The following is a 21,135-nucleotide window of genomic DNA, read 5'->3' on the forward strand; positions in this document are numbered from 1 at the left end:
AAATAAAAAGAAAGATGGAATATGAGATATTTATGTAACAAAATAAGACTTATGGAATATTATTACTGTCAAGATAATGAATATTTCAATATAAAAAGTCTCTGTATGGTATGTGTGATATGGCATTTAATATTTATCTAAACACATCTATTTTTTAGAAAATACATAAAACTCCATAGACAGTGAAATTTGCTGCTTTCAACCAATGGCTAAAATTTGCATCTGTCTTATGTTGGTGAATTAATCTACTCCGAATTTTCTCATATGAAAAAAATTAAATCATAATATATATATGATAATTTATATGATGAAAGAGAATTGATAAACAGCTTCAGAGAAAGATGTATGATATCCCAAAATCAGATAGAGCTTACACTGTTGGCCAGGAATTAGCAGTTGTTTGGAATATTTCTTCCCTGTAAGCACCTCACGACATCAAATTGTAGACTGGCTTTTCTATTACAGTCAGAGAAGACCCTTCATGCGGCATTTCTATAGAGAGAAATTTCACTGTGGTGGCAAACTCATCTATTTATTTAACACTGGTATTTCAGCCATCTGACAAATGGCCTTTTATCCAAAAACAAAGACAATGAAACACCCTTTTTCATGACCACTATTAATAATTGTAGAATTTTGGTGTTTAAATGCAGTATTAAAAAATATGTACATAACAACAACTAAATATTTACTGAACATGAATTATGTGTCAGGCATTATGTTCTGTATGAATTATTTTATGTAATTCTCAAAACCCTCCCTTAAGTTAGGTACTATTATTAGTTCCATTTTACAAAGCAGAAAGCACCGATAGACTAAGTAACTTATTCAAAGGCATAAATTTAGTCATTAATTATACATGAATTGAACAAAGATTTGTCTGGCACTAAGGTTACAGAAATGGGTAAAACATGAGCCCAGTCCCTGTGGAACTTAGTGGGAGACATAGACATGTAAATGGCAATTTAAAAGGACATGAAAAGAACCACACACTCGAAACAGGAACTGTAATTTGAGAAATAGAAAATAACATTTGAGCTGAAAGTAAGATTTCAGCAGAAAAAAGGGGAAGGTCATTCCCGACATCATATCCTGCATGTTTAGCAATAGAGAGGTATGAAGGGCCACGGAGTTTGGGAAATGCTGATGAGTGTGTATGGCTGGAATGGAATGTGTGAGGAGAAATAAGAGAAACTCTGTGGCTCAATTCACAGAGCCAAAATCATTCGGTTAATCTTTGCTTCAAACACTTTTACCATTTACTTACCTCCTTTTCTTTCCTCCTCTTTATGTGTTTACTATTTCCACAATAGTGCTTACGTAAATATTTTTTAAAGTATAGGATGCTCAAGATGACATATATGAGGAAATACTATATAATAGATTCAGGCACGTAAAGAAGTGAGAAAAGAGATAATATTCCTTTAATTAGACCAAAAGTAGTTTCTAAAATTAAATATCTAAAAAATCCCTGAACATTCCGGATGATATAGGAAAGCAAGAAAAAAGATTGCACACACAATTTAAAATTCTGATTTCTGAGTATCAAGCCTACTTGTGAGGTTGGACAATCCCTAAGGTTATCTAGGGCATTTGAAATATACCACAACTCCTGGGGAAACCCCTATAGAAAAGCAAATTTGTTTTAGAAAACAAAAACAAAAACCAACCAGGACTCTCTCAGTTTATGTTTAAATATGCTAAAGTAATTCATTTCAGAAGACAGTGTGCCAAAAAATTAAGTAAAATAAAATAAAAAAGAAAATTCTAAGATTATCTAGAGCAATATAGAGTAATTCAGGAAAACATACATGCGTTTACTACAAATGAGAAACGCATAAAGCGTAAGTCATGAAGGGTGTTTTCTACCAAAATTATGATTATTATCTATCAAAATAATAATTTCTAGGAAAATAATGATAAAACAAACGTTAATTATTTCTAGCCCTTTCTAGCAAGACAAGAACCTGCTATAGAAGTAAGGAGGCCAAACATGAAAGAAACCATGTATAGTGCAACAGGTGAAGGCCTGCAGGTATATTAAAAGTAAATGCTTGTTTTACTTTTTTACCCTTCAAGAACAGAGCTATTTTGGGAAACGTGTCTGACATAATAGTATGTGGTGGCAAAGACTGATGAAATAATTTGTGCATGAAAATAATAATAAACAGCATGAGTTAGAAAGTTATGAATGCAGATATATGTCATATATCTGTGTCATATATATAAAACACATGACACACAAAATTTATACAGAGACCCCAATGCATATAGTTTCACAGAATATAATATAGATGGAAAAGAGAGAAGAAGCAAAGAAGAAGGCAGAAGAGATGTGGCAGAACTTTTTTCCAAAAATGGCCACAATATTTCCATCCTATATGTTTTTTGATATGCCTTCCATTGAGAGATGGGGTCCACTCAATATTTTCCCCTTTAATTTATGTCTATAACTATGTAAATAACATGACTGTGTCAAATTCTATTGAAGAGAAATATCCCAAGGAGAAATATGATGTGTCGATGGTTAAAAGAATTCGTCTGATTTTTGAGGGTAGGTAATGAGAAATGAAAGTTTCCATCTCGTTCTCTTTGGATACTCTGCTTTGGGGCTCTGAGCCATGATGTAAGATGTTTGAGGCCGCCATCTGGTAAGCCCAGGCCATATGTAGATTATGTGACCAACAGCTCCAGCTGAGGATCCTGCCAACAGCTAGCATGCATCCAGGTGATTCCCACTCCCAGCCTTTAAGTCCTTCCAGCTGAGGCCTCAGATATCATGGAGCAGAGACAAATGTGGACACATACCTCTCATGAGTAAGTAATGATGTTTATTTAAGAATGAAATAAAAATACTATTTTTCCTTTTAATTTATGTGTATTGTATTTTCATGAGACTACTACTGTAAGTTGTTGAGACATAACTACTTATTAGTTGATTGGACATAATAAACAAAACAATTAGGTATTTCATGGAGCCTAGGGACACAGACAGTGAAAAGAATTACAGAGACACTAAGGGCACCATGAATAAAGAAGGTTTGGGCTCCCTGAATTAACTCATTTAATTTTCATATCAACCGAACAGGTGATTCCATTCTCATTTCCATTTTATAGGAAGTGAGGCATAGAGAGGTTTACACTATCTCACACTGCTAAAGAGTATTATGCAGGGTTTGAACCCAGTCAATCTGACGCCAGAGCCCACACCCCAAACCAGTACAACTACTGCTTCTATGTCTACAGCCATGTAATTAACATAACAGTGTCAAACAAACTCCATTAAAGAGAAATATCCCAAGGAGAAATAATTTCAATCAGAATATTATAAGAAGTATATGTTCAAGCTGGAAAAGGAAGAAATTTTGTGAATCATTGTACAAGGAGAAACCTAAAGCCCTGGTGAGCCTCAAAGACAAACACGTTTAGTCATGGGCAGAGTCAGTATAAGAACCTATTTCTCCCTGCTTCCAATTCTGATATACCTGCCTTCTAACTGAAGAAGTTCTGTCCAGGAGTGGCAATCAAAAAATAGGATATGCAGATACTCATAATGCTATAAAAGGACATAGAAAAATAAACACCTGAATGTGAAGTATAGCGACATGGCAGTTATTCTTGTAGCTGACAAGAATCAATAGATTAAAAATCAGTTGTTTTTCTGCTGAACTCAGGGGTTTTGCAGTGTTTATTCTAGTCACAAAGTAGAGCAACTGCTTTGATTGGACAGTCAAATAATTCTCATTAAAAGTCTCTAATTTGAGTTCTCTGCTTCCACAATCTGTAAAATACTTTCTTCTTTTGTCCTCCCTAGCAGACGATATAATACTCATTTCTTTTCTTGTTACCTGGCTTCCTCACCAGCTAGACGTTTCTAAACGGCTGGGACCATGCCTTTTGCCTCAGTCAGGATCTCTAGTGTCAGTCAAGAACAGTGCCTAGTATGTACTAGGTGCTTAAGAGATGCTTGCTAAGTGAGTCTGTAACAAATGTATGTTGGCAGGAAGCTATATGTGAGCTATCATATAATTTATTTAATCAGCCTAAATACAGACTTACCTCCAATGTCTCTGTACAGAAACACCTGATTTCAACTTTACAGAAGCAAGAAATAAATATCTGTTATGTTAAGTCACAGAGATTGTGAAGTTTATCTGTTATAAAGGCTTCTATTACCTTAGGCTAAAATGACCTCTGTTTTCAACAAAACTTAATCAAGAGTCAGGCCTCATCTTACACATTCAAGCTCACTTGCAACCATTATCCAGATGCAGGTCACACACCAGGTCCAACATGATCCTAAACAAATGGTAGTTTTTCGGTACTTTGTGATTCATTTACTTCATTTATATCAGCCTCACATATTGCTTTATGAAAATGATTCAACAGACTTGCAGTCTGATCTGAAAGTATTTTATGAGACACTAAGCACAAGGAGAAGCACACATGTCTTCTGAGTGCTCTGATAACTCAAGATGATTATTCTCACCTCTTTACCTTTGCTCATAATGTTCATGTTGCTTGGGATATTCATTTTCTTTCTTTTTAACAATACCAAACTGTTTCTTGATTTCCTAGCTTACACTCCACTTTGTTGCACTTTGTCTAAAAGTTTCAGACCCTCCCACCACTTTTTTTTTTTAACTTAAATAGCATGAGAACTCTGGACTATACCATTTGACTCATGACTATTCTGTCTTGCTTCACATCTTATTTGTTTGTCTGGATTCCCCAGCAGGACACTAACGTCCTTTACTGAAGAAACCAGTCATTACAGTATCACGAGGTCTAATTTGGTCCTAAACAAATGATAGTCTTTCAGTATTTTATGATTCTGTTACTTCATTGATACCAGCCTTACATACTTCTTAATGAAAACTGATTCAACAGACTTCAAATCTGATCTGATAGTAGTATTTCATGAGGCTCTAAGTACAAGCAAAAGTTGGTAATACTAAAGAGGAAGGAGGGCTCATTTATTGGAAAACATGTATGTTAGACCATACATTGTAGCAGAGGAAGAAAAGCAGTATGAGTGGGTGGAAGGTTAGCTGTAGTTCATGGTCAAATGTGGAAAGGTCAGTAGTTACAAGGAAATAAAAGAGTCAAAAGACCAGCGCAAAAGGAGCTGAAGCTTGGATTACATTGAGTTAAGCTGTTTGTGTCCCACTGATGCCCATTTGAACACTCATAGGCTTTATTCTTTCTATTTCAGTATTAGAGAATTATATGGTAGTAGCTTCTTATATGGTAGATCTTCCCTTAGGTTCGCTATAATTGCAGTTTTGGCATTAAGGCCAATATTGGCGGTGACACTGATGAATTTGGATTATCCTGAGATTATGAGATATGTATGGGTTTGGGCATATTTGCAGTATGGTAACGTCATCAAAGGATACAGTTTATGTTTCTTAGCAACCTAGAATCGATCAGCATCTTGATGCAATTTTATGTGGCTCTTTAATTGCTGATTTTGTAGTGTTCGAACCTTCTAATGATGTAACAGCTGAAAGAGGATGTGCAAAAAGGCATTGTAAAAAAAAACTTTTTGGCTGCTTTTTGTTGGGCACCAAGGAAACATTTTGGCTGTATCTTTCCATCTAAGTGAAAAGAACTAAAGAAATGTTCTTTCTTCTCCATGCAGTGTAACTAAATTGTCTGGGAAAAAATCAGCATTCACATGTCTTGGACAAGTGAGAAGAGTGCTGTTTACCATCTTGCATCATTAGATATGACACTTTTATCATGCTCTGAAAAGATATAAAATAGGTCATTGGAATAAGGACACAGTATGGAAAATAGATGAAATCAGATAATAAATTGCAAATCTGTTAAGCCACGCTCCATTTTTATCCTTCTCTTTTTTCTTTTTGTCTTCCCCTGTGGCGTGGAAGAGATACTTCCCTTCACGTCCTGCCTTTTGCTTCACCCTAGACAGATGCTCTCCCAGAATCCAAGATAATACATGTTTGTCCACATGGTAGACTGCACTAGCCTTCTCCAATGTAGGATAAATGTGCCCGTATGCTACAAGGAAACAGAATTATTGAATCTGCTCTTGGCAAACTAACACTTTTTTTTTTTTTTTTTTTTTGAGACAGAGTCTCACTCTGTCACTCGGGCTGGAATGTAGTGGTGCGATCTCCGCTTACTGCAAGCTCTGCCTCCCGGGTTCACGCCATTCTCCTGACTCAGACCCCTGAGTAGCTGGGACTACAGGCCACTGCCACCATGCCCGGCTAATTTTTTTGTATTTTTAGTAGAGATGGGGTTTCACCGTGTTAGCCAGGATGGTCTCGATCTCCTGACCTCGTGATCCACCTGCCTTGGCCTCCCAAAGTGCTGAGATTACAGGCGTGAGCCACCGTGCCTGGCCAAACTAATACTTTTTATTGTGTGCCATAGGTCCCATAATGCCATTTGATATTAACCATCTCCAGTAACATCAATAGTTGCAGGAAATCAGTAGAAAGGAAGGACTATTGAGAGAACAATTTGGCCATCTCTTTGCTTCCAGGTATATTTGTATCACACTGCAAAGCAAAAATAGGCTAAATGTTGAAATACCGATGTGGAAAACTATCTTTAAAATGCAAATAAAATTTGGAAGTTTTATTCCATCGTTTGGGCTATTTTCACTTGCTCTGTCCTTGAGGGCAGCACAGCAACATGGTCACCCTTCTTTGAATAAAGACCAAATTGTTTTAATGGATCTTCATCTCATAGAAGAGGTAAAATGGCAGAGATGCTTCTGTGGTTTGAGTATTTGTCCCCTCTAAAACTCATGTTGAAACTTAATCCCAGATGTGGCAGTATTGAGAGGTGAGGCCTTTAAGAGGTGATTGGGTCATGAGGGCTCTGACCTCGTGAATGGACTAATCCACTCATGCATTAATGGTTTAGGAGGTTAACGGATTAAACAGTTATTGTGGGAATGGGACTGGTGCCTTTATAAGAAGAGGAGAGAACTGATCTGGCACCTCAGCCCCCTCGCCGTGTGATGCCCTGCACTGCCTCAGGACTCTGCAGGGAATCCCCACCAGCAAGAAGACCCTCACCAGATGTGGCCCCTTGACCTTGGGATTTCTCAGCCTCCATAACTATAAAAATATTTTCTTGATAAGTTACCCAGTATCAGGTGTTCTGTTACAAGGAACAGAAAACGGGCTGAGAGACATGCCCAGTGAGGATGGTGGCTAGGAAGTGAATGACACAGTTGCTTTCTGCCTGCTGCTTTCTTGAACAGGGAGACACTTGTCTAAGTGATCTGCATTAGAGGAGTGCAGATCACAAACAAAGACGGATTTATGTGAGTAAAGAATTATATATACCCTAAAGCAATGTCATTATGGCAATTATATTTAAGGATTTTGGTAAAGTCTTCAGAGGAGTATAAACTATTAAAAAAAAGGAAACAGCTGTTAGAGGGGTTTATATCTTAAAATAACAAAGGTACTTGCATGTGTGAAGAATGCCAACATCTTAAAAACATCTTCAATATAATTGATATTGATGACTTTTGTTTTCACTTCCCAACCACCTCTAAATAGTTTCAGTACTTCTGAAACTTTATTTTATGTTTTTAAGTGTTTTTTTTTTTATAAGTCTTCCCAGTTTGGTCTACTATATTAAGCTCAATTGTGAAGTTATTAAGCTCTTGGAATGGGCCTAAACTACGAAAATTTGAACAACACCTAGAAGAAATTAATAGTCCCATAAACATTTTGCCTTAAAGTAAAAGATGGTTCCAAGATGTCCAACCTGGGAAGAAAGATGATAAAAGTGACTGAAATAGGATAAATAGAAAAAAAATTAATAGGAGAAAAAATAATTATTTTAGCTTGTGGATAAATATCTGTTATAGGACTTCTACCTGTGAATGTTTAATGGCAGTTGGAAGAATAGATTTGGACACGCAAGAGTTAGGAGTAGAGATGCCAGTTTAATAGGCATCTACATTCTCTTGAAGGTTCGTAATAGGTAAGTTTACTGTGATCTTTCTCTCTCATTCCCTAGCCTCTACTCAGCTTTGCTGAATCAATTTCTTCTCCCGAAATTTTGATATTTTTTCTTTCTAATATGCTACATTATACTTTTGCATGCAGCATGAGGGGTTAGGGTCAGGGAGAGAGAAAATGAAGAGATTTCTGTTTATTTCTGTTACTCAGCTAAGTATCAGAAACACCACAGGGGGTTAAAAAGGATGTCTACGGAGGTGCTTGCCTGAGAAGTCACCAGAGGAATTGTGTGCAAACACAGAAACCCTTTGGTAACATGAGCTGTGTTTCCTTGTTAAATTGACCCTGCTGTCTGACACCCTCTGTTGCTACTGTTACATCACAGCTAGGTCAACATCCAGATTCCTTTACCAACTATGTGAGAATCTACTAAAAGCATTCTCTAATAATACAGTCAGCCCTGGGAAAGACATCTGAGCTTTAATTAAGCAATGTATGTGGGGGAAAATTTCTGGTATCTTGTTTAATAGACAGGTGTAACATATTCCTCTCTCCAAATATGCTTTTAGATGACATGGGGTAGGTTTAGAGAGATTTATAACAAAATGAAACTGATGTGGCAGTAGAATTTGTTAGCCCATTCTTTTATGTTTCTCAGCAGAGATCTTTACGTGGTAAAATGTCAGATTAGGGCTCAGCGTAATGATTTTTGGAACATGATAATGTTATTTCAGAACACTTCATTTAGAAAAATATCTTTGTTCGAATACTTCCTGATATTAATTTAATTTGCTTTGGTGCTCGTGGGTTATAGGAAGTGTAGCTGCACACTTCTTTGCACTTGCCTCACAAAACTTCCAACAGAAACCAACCAACACACATCTCATTAATCTTCTTAACACTAAGCAGAAAAGACCAAATTGAAAATACGGCGATCTTTCCATGAATGCACATCAGGACTGGTTTGTTTATCTCTGAGCAGGCATGTGTGATGAAAACAGTATGTCATTATGTAGCTTCCTAAGTGGAGAGCTGGAACTTTGTGAAGAACAAGGAGCCTGCCGTGAGGTTGGAAGTTTTTACTTCTTTGCGCTATCATTTCTATTGCTTTGACTGTGGTATCTTCCAAGTGTCAGGAGTTACTTCTTCCCTAAAAGAACTCTGGTTGGGCTGGGAATATCGGCTCATGCCCAGCACCTTGGAAGGCTGAGGTGAGAGACTCAGTTGAGGCCAGGAGTTCAAGACCAGCCTGGGCAACATAGTGAGACACCATCTCTATAAAACAAAACAAAACAAAAACAAAAACAAAGATCCCTCAGGCAGTTTGTTGAGAATAAAGCATGTCTTAAGCCACATGCCTTTATTTTTTTACCCTTGCTCTGTCTCGTTAAACTGTTCTCTCAAAAAAATTCATCATCTGAAGTTTAATATTTTTTATGCTTCATTCCACAACTTCTTAGTGAGTTTCTAAAATTAATACAAACAACAAAAACCTATGTCACGAATGGAACACAAGCAAATAAGGCTCAGACATTTAAAAGCCGATGGCAATGTACATCAGGATAAGATTATGTTAAAATAAGGATTGTAGACTCTGTGTGATAGTCTTCGTGCTTGATTTTGTGCTGATTGTAGGATATAAGTATAAAGATAATAATCCAAATTAAAGTGCCCATCTACTGTAACACAAGCTATTATCTCTATATGATATCCAACACACGACAGATATTTGATAACTTATGACAATAAATATCCTAAGTTCTTACAGCCATATGAAGCACCTAGAATTACCAACTATGAAGCTGTTAGCCATTTACACTTGTATATTAAGTTAAATATTTATTAGGATTAGAAGTCAAATAGAGGGCTAGTAGAATATTGGAAAGTGTGTTTTCCCTTTGAGTGTAAAGCTCCATTTGGGATGGAGTGTTGAGTGGTAAAGTCTTTTCAGCATGCTTTCTGAAAGTTTTCTCTTTACTCTCATTTTCACCTGGGTAAAAAGAATGTAGGAATGATTAACAGGGTGGTTAATGTGTAGCAGCTGAGACAAGGTTCTACAGATATAGTGTGTAGTCTGGTAGGAAGAACCATGTCCCCCTCCACCCACTTTGTTCACCTCCCAATCCATGGAAACTATGAATATATTACTTTAGATGGCAAAAGGGACTTTGCAGAGGTGATTAAATTAAGAACCTTGAAGTGAGAGGATTAGACTAGAATATCCAGGTGGGACCAATCTAGTCACCCCAGTCTTTAAAAGCAGAGAAACTTTGCCAGCTATGGCCAATGAGTGCTATGTCGATGGGAAAGTCAGTAGGATGCGACTTGAGCGTGGAAAGGGGCCACGGGCCGAGGAATGCGGGCAGCCTGCAGAAGCTGAAAGCTGGAAAATGCAAGGAATGGAGTATTGGTGAGTTGAAATTGGCTTAATAATTCCCTAATACTAATGTGCACAACAAACTCATGGACTGCTTGTTTAAGATGCATATTTCCAGGCCCCATCCCAGGCATTCTGATTCATTCAATCTAGTGTGAGGCATTAAAATCTGTAATTTAACTCCATTTCAACAAGTGATCAAGATAGGCTTTGAAGTCCATTTTTGTTTGATCTTATTAAAAGTAAGTTGCCATATTTAACATTTAACAGTCTTATTTTCTATTTTTGTATTTCAGAATCAGGGAAAAGTCCTCTCTCCCTCTCACACGCACATGCTCACAGGCACACATGCACTCACACACACACATACACGTTCTCTCACACACACACACAATTACTCTTGACTGCTTTCTGTTAGTTGGCATGATGTCATCTCTCTAGAGAGTCATAAATTTTGGACCTCAATGTTTGAAAACTGAATCGGGAATACATGATTAGAAAGATCAACAATGTCTTCTCCCAGGACATTCCCATATGTATTTGTTTAATCTGTGTTTTCTATGCTGGACTGTAAGCCCATCAGAGTGAATCAAACAGGTACATCAGTCTCATTAGCAGCTTCACCAGCTAATGAATGTCAGACACCATTAACCAAGAAATACTTTCTATTGAGGAAAATGGAAACTACATGAGGGTAGTTTGTTGTAGGGGAGATGCAAGGCAGGGATAGATTGGGGAAATATGACCCAGAAGAAATGAAATCACTACCTTGTAAAGATACCTGCACTCTCATGTTTATTACAGCATTAGCCACAATAATCAAGATATAGAAACAACCTGGGTGTCTATCGCCAAATGAATGGATAAACTGTGGTGTGTATATACATGTATACATACACAATGGAATATTATTCCACCTTTAAAAGGGAGATCCTGTCATTTGCCATAACATGAATGTACCTGGAAAACATATTAAATGAAATAAGCCAGACAGAAAAGAAAAATATTGCGTGATCTTAGTTATACATGGAATAAAAAAGGTCAATGATACAGATAAAGAATAAAACAATGGTTACCAGGGCAAGGTGGGAAGGAGGAAATGGGGAGATATAGGTCAAAGGATACAAGATAGAAGATATGTAGCATGAACAAGCCTAAAAATCTAAGGTATAACATGAGGACTATAGTTAATAATAGTATATGGCATTCATTATTTTTGCTAAATGAGAGATTATAGCTGTTCTTGCCATAGACAAAAAAAAAAGAGTAACTATGTCAGGTGATGGATACGTTAATTTGTTTCACTATAATAACCATTCTACTATATATGTATCTCAATGCTATCTTGCATAATTTAAATATACAAAATACACAAATTTAAATATACAAAATACAAAATTTTTAAAATTTTATTTTAAAAATGAAATGATTGGAAAGATATTTAGGAATTAAAATCAGCAGATTTGCCAATCTAATGAAGGATTACAGAAAACTATTCTCAATCTGTAAACTAGGTTGTTGGATGGAGATGATACCTGCAAACAAGGAAGAAGCACATCAGGTGGAAGGCTAATTTTGTGGATTATGTGTTTGAAAGGCCTGTGGGAGGTGATAAGCAGGGAGTAATTGCAGATGTATTTAAATCTAAAATGCTGCAGTGTGATAGCAAAACAGTGGCCCCCAACGATAACTATGCTGTAATTCTAAGAACTTGTGAATGTTATCTTACATGGCAAAAGGTACTTTGCATATGTCATTAAGGTTAAGAACCTACAGATGGGGAGAGTAGCTGGGATTACCCAGGTAGGCCCAATCTAATCATATGAGTCCTTTAAAGGAAAGAGTTAGCCAGCTGAAGAGAATCAGACATGGCAGCAGCATTGAGAAGGTGGGGCCCTTCTGTTGCTGGCTTTGAAGATGGAGAAAGGCAGCCCCGAGCCAAGAAATGCAGGCAGCCTCTAGAATAGGCTGGAAAAGGCAAGAAAATAGATTTGCTCACAGAGTCTCCACAAGGAACCCAGGCCTGCTGACCACCTTGACTTTTGGCCTGGTGAAACAGATTTTAGACTCCTCACCTTCAAAACTATAATAAAGTCATGCCATTTTAAGCACCAAGTTTATGATAATTTGTTATAGCAGCAATAGAAAACAAATATACCAACATCCTTCCTGCCACCCCCACCAAAAGAAACCGAAATGTATGAGACTTATTGACACAGCTCTCTTGGGCCAGGTTTTCTGGAGCCAAGAAAGGAGGAAACTCTTCTCATTAATTCCCTTTGTGGGACATTTTCTTAATTGTTGGTCTGGGTTTTCACTGACAGAAAGCTGCAGAGTGAACTGTTGGGGAAGTATTCTTTGGTGCACACAGAAAATCAAGACACATTTATATTCAGTCAATGACAGAGTGAAAACCAGACTTCAAGAGAGAAATCCACACTCTCTGAGCCAGTTCCCATTCTCAATATGTAGCAGTTTCAATTTGCCCCATCACTAGTGAAACTCATCTGAGGGCTTCCTGAGAAGTCAGGTGAGCTGCATCTATGAGGAGTCTGACCCCGGCAGATCTGTGAGCATGGACATGTTTAGAAGCAATGTTCTAGGCTGCATAGTTTTTTTTTTTTTTTTTCCTATCTCTCTTCCTTGTTCAACATTACAATCCACTCTCAAGTGTGTATGGAGAATCGGAAAAGGGCCTGTCTGGCCACTGTGGGAAAAAAAAACAAAAAGAGTACCAGGCGAGACCACAGTGATGGTACTTGAGATGGGCACAAGCTGAGAACGTGCATCTAGTGAAGTGGCCTGATGTTTAACCTTGTGGTTAAAAGGGGGTTATGGGCTTTTGGGTGGATAACAATCTTTCCTTAAATACCAAGGAGAGTGCATCCTGTCAGCATACCTTGTCACTGCTGATATTACCGTGGATTGCCTGGCTGCAACATCGTTGTCCATTTTCTCCACTGTAAAGTTACTCTTTTTCAATCTTTCCACGTTATACTCTTTAAAAGGAAGCCACTATGTACAGCCTGCATGGAAGGAGTGGGGAGTTATGTTCTGACTTCTTGAATGTAGAGTATCTACACAAGTTATTTGGAATTTTTCTACATGGGATGTTTGTCTATTCTCTTCCATTTATTCAATTATTTTTAGTATATGGACTGCGTGTTTACTTACACTTTGGTTTACCATTTGTTACTATATTTTGCTGCTCAAATTGTTCTAGCTTTGGCCATTGCGTGTTGTTTCAGTTGGCACCTATGTCCTTTTGACATACCATCATCAATGTGTTTTGTATATTTCAAGCACTTCTTTAACTTCTGGTACTACAAAATGCTCCAGGCTCATCTTATAAATTTCCTGCTGTGTTACTGAAATCAGTCACTCTTTCTTTCCAAGAAATTCTGGTTACTTTTGTTGGTGAACAGTATTAGAAATCAAGATCTGGGTTAGATGTACTCATTGCTACTAGGGAATTGTTGCTTCTAAGGCCTCCTCAGCTAGCAGAGTAATAAAATATGAGTATACTAACTTGTGTATATATATACTTAAATATTTCATGTGTAACTATATTTGTCTAGATTAGGCAGAAAATGAGACCATACAGATGCCTACAACTCCAGTCCATTACCACATGGATCATTCTACGTTCCTGCCCTTCCCTATCTCTAACCTCAGACTCGAATATTGACAAACTTGGCTCCCACTGCTCACCATCCATTTTACTGAACTGTTCAATTCACGTATACTTATATAGAGGTTTCAGATTTATTACTCATACCCCCAAGAAAAACGACTTTATCAACTCACTTTATCAACTACAGCACAGTGCTTGCGTTGAGGTCTGTTAACCTTATTCTTGCACATCTTATTTCCAAGGTTAATTAGGTCAGCACTTTACCCCGACTCCTTTCAACAAGGCTGTTTCACACATTTGTAATACAGTTAGATTCTTCTGTCATAATCTTCATTTGATCATGTGATCCCACAACTATTTAAGTGATTTAAAAAAATACATATATTTAATGGTGAGTTTTTTTCTGCTATAAAGTTCTGTGGGTACAGTGTCATAGAGCCATCATTTTAGTTCCATATATGATGGTTTATCCACCCCCAAAACTCCTGTTTCACCTATGTAACCACTCTTTAGTCCCTAGCACCACTGATCTATTATCTTTATAATTTTTCTTCCATAATATCATATGAATGGAATTATATAATATGTAGCATTTTCAGACTGGTTGCTTTCACTTAACAGTACGTATTTAAGATTTCCATGCCTCTGCATAGCTTGATAGCTCATTTCTTAAAATCATTGAATAGTATCCTATTGAGTGGGTGTACCACTTCTGGTTTATCCATTTACATTTACTTATTGAAGGACATTTGTATTGTTTCCCATTGTTTTGCAATTACAAATAAAGCTGCAGTAGAAATTCATGTGCAAGTATTTGTGTGGACATAAATCTTCAGATAAGTTAGGGAAATAGTAGGAACTTGATTGTTGGATTGTATGGTGAAACCATGTTAAACTTTGTAAGAAACTTCAAAACTGTCTTGCAAATTGGCCATATTATTTTGTGTATCTGCCAGCAATGATTGAGAGTTCTTGTCGCTTTGCATCTTTGCCAGCAATTGGTATTGTCAGGACATCATAATTTTAGTTCAGGGAGACTTATATAATACTTCTCATGTAAAGAACCATAAGATAATAAATTTGCATTGTCTTAAACACAATATGTATACTCATTTGTTATAGAAGCAATGGAAATCCAATACATGTACACAGAGTTTCTTTTAAAGAATATGGAAATGTTTGTGTTTATCTTCTGGTCCACATCCAATTATGTCTTCCTTAGGGGCTGAATGCCATAATTTCATCAATAACTTACAAACCTATTTGTGAGCAGAAGAGATAATAATATTATTGTATTTCTTCTCTCACTTTGTAAGAAAGCACCAGCTAGTAATATGCCATTATGAGACATTAGTTTCCAAATTCCCCAGCTACCTACCTATAATATAAATAAATCTTAATAACTACTGATTTTAAAAATCTACTTTGAAGCTCAAGAAAATATTATCAAAAATGTTTATGTAGCAAGTTAAATGTAACTTTGTTTTTTCTTTTCCAATTTCTTTTTAAAATGTCTCTTCGCTTAGTCTCATTTATAGGACTTCCTTGACACTTTCAGTTCTTTGAACTACACCTTTTGTTAATTTTTTAGATTTATTAAGATTTTAGGGAAAAATAAAGAAAATTCAAGAGTGAAAAACTCAGTTATTTTGAGAAATATTTTTTATGACTAATATAACAGTGCAGAACTAAAAATGTCATCTATAAACATTGGTTTCCGTAGATCTGTTCCTCTAAGCAATTTCTTACTGCTTTTTGCTTTTCTTTTAATACATTTCCTGTTTCTAGTCTATAATTTCTGCTTAATTCTTTCCTATATTGGGCCGTCAACTCATTCTGTCATCTGCTTTATTTCCCTCTACATTAAACAATCACTTCCAGAGTACTTTCATTCAATATTTATACAAAAGGGGGGTTTTAATTGAAATTCATTAGAAAAAAAGCTAATTACTAACTTTTTAAAGAATAGATTCTTTTTCACCCTCCATTGAGAGATATGTTACAAGCAATGTGCTAAAACTATATTAGCATGATTTTAACACATGAATTCCCTGATTCCCAATCCTTTCACAGTTCTCCTTTATATCAAGATTTCATAAGCATTATACATTAAAAAAACAGTGAGAAGTACGTAATAGAGTATACCTACCAATATTTAGTATATTGGAGAAAAGCAGGAATACAAACATCCTATAAATGGCAACATATCTGATCATGAGATGACTGGAATAAATAAAAGCACAATTTATACTTAATTTATACTCACCTGAGATGTAGAACAGTTAATGCTTAGTCTTTGATCGCAGCAGAACATACAGATGATTTCTGCTAACATCAAAGATGAAAAGAGCATTAATTGTTCTACTTTTCAGTTGAACATATTATCAACTACAGCAAGACATGATATTCTTTACTTTAGAACTTTACAGTCTAAAGGGAGAATGACAAATATAAATGTAACTATAAGGTAAAATATGATCACTATCATAAAATAAAGGGTTTGATGACCTCAAAGGAAAGAGAAAGTGTGTCTCCTTGAGGGAACCAGGCTAAGTCTCAAGGAGGAGAGACCATTTGGGTTGGACTGATTAAAAAGTTGACAAGAAGAAGGGAACATGCTGAGCAAAGCTAGAGCGGGGAGGTAATAGTGATAGTTAAGAAACATGAACTAATCCAGCACAGGTTTGGGGTAGGTCAGGAGTAAGCAATAAGTAAAAAATTTGGCTAGATCTATATTTATTGAAGTCCTTAAAAATAGCCACCAAAGACTTTTGATTATTTTAACAAAGCTATCTAAGGCAAATTGGATGAAATATTAACATGATTGGGTTAAGAGGTCATCTCAGTTGTCTCTCTAGGTCTAGATTTCAAACGATAGTGTGCATACTTGTCTCTGGAGCAAATAAAAAAGCCAATGACTGTGACTAGGCCCAACCCTTGATTATGATTCACTTCATAAGCTATGGGGCCCAGAAATCCATATTTTTTATCAGGTGACTCTGTGCACATTAGTTTGAAGTTTGAGTGTCTAAGTGAAAGGAGAAAGCCTGACCTTGAGTGTGTCAGAAGAAATGGCTAATAGGTTATAGGTGAGATCAACCTGGCACTCTGACTGTAAAACCTGAATTTTTATACATGACTCAGTTTCAGTTCTGAGGCTTATTTTACTGAAGCATCAAAAACAATCAACGTTTCTTAAACTATACAGTGCTAATTCTCAGAATTGCTTCCTGAAGGTGACTGTAAAACTGAGCACTACCTTAACATACATGGTTTGTGGTTGGATCTAACAGGTTGGGACTAAATTGAGACTGCTTCTTATCCTCCTAATGTCTTAAAAGCCTGGTTGGGCTGCTAAGAGAGATTACAGGAAAAGAATACAGATGAGTTTGAATTCTCCCAGGGCAGGGATATTAACTAATTTGTCTCTTGTAACAGGGTCAATGTTTGTGGAATGAATAAATGAGTGAGTGAATGAATAAACAGGAAATGTGGTTGACTTTTGATGAAAGTTTATAGGACAGTCGTTCAAACACTATCAGAAAATCTAATGTCACCAATGTCCTATAAAATATTGTTCCAGGAAGGCGCTATGACTTTCTACCACAACTGGAAGCAAATGTAACACAAAAAGCAAAAACCTCCTTATTCTTTGTTGGCCTATATCTCCTATCCCAAAAAATACTTCCTTTTTCCTTGGAAAATTCTGGCAAAGATGTCATGAAGCTCCCCCTTAGAAGAGAGCCTCAAGGCAATACAGTTTGCTACAAGGCAAACTTTATTTGCTCCTAAGAATTGTAGCTGCAATAAACTCTGCATGAACAGTATTTACAAATATTCCATCACTTAGTGGAAAAAAATCTTGGGTGCTGCTAAGAATGTGTCTGGCTGGACAATGTTAAATTTTGGAAAACAACTATTTTCTAGGCTGTTTACTAGAATATAACTATCATCAAAATATATTCATGGAGCATTTTTTTTAAAACAGTGAGAATGCCTGTAGTTCAGTAGCTACTGAAGTAATCTCTCCTGTGAAAAGGAGGAGGCCAGCAATAAAGAACAGCATCTCTACATTTATACCCATACAGTATTATTTCTAATATGTTCGACTTGAATTCTCACTTAGATAAATAGATTCCATATGAACCTAATTAACTGGCGTTTCAGTTTCCAAAATGTTATGTAAAATGTAGTGTTTTAAATTGAAAAAATGCAGATGGGAATCTTGAAGGTGTTTGATTTATAGCTGATGCAACAGTTCCTTTTTCTGTTACAGCAGAATACTAACATTATGCTTAGATGATTTAAAGTAGATGCTGTTTATTTTATTTGACTTTCACTAGGATTATAAAGATGACAGTGCTCTACTACAGAAGAGATTTTCTTATTCTAACAGACAAATGCATTTCTAGCCATTATATCACGGCATACATTTTCACAATGTAAATAGCTATTTAATGGAAATGATGAGGCCACTAATGTAGACAAAGTAGCTATTGTCTGAGAGCCCCTGAGTCATCTTGTGTCACAGAAAATATAGTTATTAGTTTTAATCATAACCCTATGGCATTTTAGAAACCTTAGTATCTAACTTCAATATATAGAGATATATAATTAGGAAAATACTTAGACTTAAATTCCACATTGACTGGCATTATAAACTTTGCTTTCTAGTAATAATTAGATGGCTGATCAGAAACTATGTATTACATGGCCTTCCTTATGAAATGAGGCAGCTTTTAAAATTATGTATCATAGGCCAGCTGCAGTGGCTTATGCCTGTAATCCCAGCACTTTGGGAGGACGAGGCTGGTGGATCACCTGAGGTCAGGAGTTTGAGACCAGCCTCGCCAATAGGATGACACCCTGTCTCTACTAAAAATACAAAAATTAGCTGCGTGTGGTGGCATGCAGCTGTAGTCCCAGCTACTCTGGAGGCTGAAGCAGGAGAATTGCTTGAACCTGGGAGGCAGAGGTTGCAGTGAGCCGAAATTGTGCCATTGCACTCCAGCCTAGGTGACAGAGTGAGACTCCATCTCAAAAAAAAAAAAAAAAATGCATCATATACTATTTTAACAATGGTCAATTATCACAGTCAATTCCATTTAAAAGTAATTTTTGATGCAAAAATATGTCATATCGAACTATTTTCCTAATGGGTTACAATATTGACATTATATTCTTAGGCTCTTGCAAATTATAATTAAAGGTATATTCTATCTGGAAAATGAATGTGTCAGTGATTTCTTTCTTTTTTTTTTTTAGATAACTGTGTTTGCCATATGTTTATCATCTAGGCATATGCTGAACTGTTGTGTATGTTCAATAAATAATAAGAATATGAATGTATTTTAGATTTGCTTAGAAATATAATCAACATAGGCTGGGTGCAGTGGCTCACACCTGTGATCCTAGCACTTTGGGAGGCTGAGGCAGGCAGATCACCTGAGGACAGGAGTTCGAGACCAGCCTGGCCAACACGGTGACACCACGTCTCTACTAAAAATACAAAAATTAGCCAGGTGTGGTGGCATGCATCTTAGTCCCAGCTACTCAGGAGGCTGAGGCAGGAGAACTGCTTGAACCTGGGAGGTGGAGGTTACATTGAGCCGAGATTGTGCCATTGCACTCCAGCCTGGGCGAGAGAATGACAGTCTGTCTCAAAAAAATTATGCATCATATACCATTTTAACAGTGGTCAATTACCACAGTCAATTCCATTTAAAAGAAATTTCTGATGCAAACATATTTCATAAAATTAACCATATGGCATTTTAGAAACCTTAGTATCAATTTTTTTACTGCCTGATGGGTTACAATATTGACATTATATTCTTAGGTTCTTGCAAATTATAATTAAAGGTATATTCTATCTGGAAAATGAATGTGTTAGTGATTTCTTTCTTTCTTTCTTTCTTTCTTTCTTTCTTTCTTTTAGAACCATGTTTGCCATATGTTTATCATCTAGGCATATGTTGAACTATTGTGTATGTTTAATAAATACTTAATAAGAATATGAATGTATTTATTAGATTTGTTTAGAACTGTACTCAGAATAGGCTGGGTACAGTGGCTCATGCCTGTGATCCTAGCACTTTGGGAGGCCGAAGCAGGCAGATCACCTGAGGTCAGGAGTTTGAGGCCAGCCTGGCCAACATGGTAAAACCCCCACCTCTAGTGAAAATACAAAAATTAGCCTGGCTTCATGGTGGGCACCTGTAATCCCAGATACTAGGGAGGCTGGGGCAGGAGAATTGCTTGAATCCAGGAGGTGAAGGTTGCAGTGAGCTGAGATCGCGCCACTGCATTCCAGCCTGGGTGACAGAGTGAGACTCTGTCTCAAAAAAAAAAAAAAAAAAAAAAAAAAAGGAAATGTTTTCAGAATACACTGGAATTTTGGAAGACAGACAAAATGAATATAAGCATAAAATTAGATTAAATACTGGCAGCTAACTGCAGGCCCCAGTCCTGTAACTAAAGCTAAGAAGACCCCTCCTTGCCCCAACAAAAAAGAAGTGTGTTTTCACTTTCACTTTCACATTCTTCACAATGTTCAATATAAACACTGAAGTTATATTGAGTAGCAACTTTTATTTGACATTTAATTTTTTGTTTTATCATGAATTTTCTAATTTCAGTTGAGTTTTTTGCTATTTATTGGCTTAGAAGTGTTTTGGCTTTCATATGCTAGACAATACTTTGAGTAAATACAGTGAAGGACTGTGAGAAAGTTAAATTTGTGGCACTTTTCATCTAAAACAAGAAAAAATGGAAATTCCCAAAGAAAGATGAGTAACTCTTTAAGCCATTTCTGCTGAATGGATGTTTCATACTAATGTTATGGGGAAGTATTAAAATACTGTAAAAGGAACTAATCCAAGTATTAGTGTCTTAGAAGAAAAGCCACTGGGTGCTTAAAACATGGGTGGAGATTTCTTAGTGTGTATTGATTGTTTATGAAATGTCAAAATACTACTAAAGTGTATGAGAAGAAAATAAAAGCTACTAGCATTTGAGGACACATTTACATGACAGATCTTACGAGCGTATTTCCTGGAAATGTTTCACTGATTGATTTCATCACTCATTTATTTATTGCAACACTTATTCAATACTTTACATAAGTTAAATTGAGGAGATTCAAAGAGGAGCTTTGTTCTTTGGCC

General features: G+C 36.4%; 2 long non-coding RNA genes across 2 annotated transcripts in view; one reads left to right on the top strand and one right to left on the bottom strand.

Moving 5' to 3' along the window:
• Positions 1-21,135, top strand: part of LOC107986772 (uncharacterized) — a 129,008-nt gene that overhangs the window by 22,370 nt on the left and 85,503 nt on the right. The window lies entirely within an intron of this gene.
• Positions 12,739-21,135, bottom strand: part of LOC101927609 (uncharacterized) — a 164,409-nt gene continuing 156,012 nt past the window's right edge. Inside the window, exons 10-12 of the long non-coding RNA XR_007060234.1 lie at positions 16,119-16,192; positions 14,143-14,323; positions 12,739-13,361 (exon numbers count right to left, since the gene is read on the bottom strand). This is a non-coding gene — a long non-coding RNA (uncharacterized LOC101927609). The remainder of the gene's footprint in view (positions 13,362-14,142; positions 14,324-16,118; positions 16,193-21,135) is intronic.

Source organism: Homo sapiens, chromosome 7, assembly GCF_000001405.40.
Source record: "Homo sapiens chromosome 7, GRCh38.p14 Primary Assembly".
Lineage (NCBI taxonomy): Eukaryota > Metazoa > Chordata > Mammalia > Primates > Hominidae > Homo > Homo sapiens.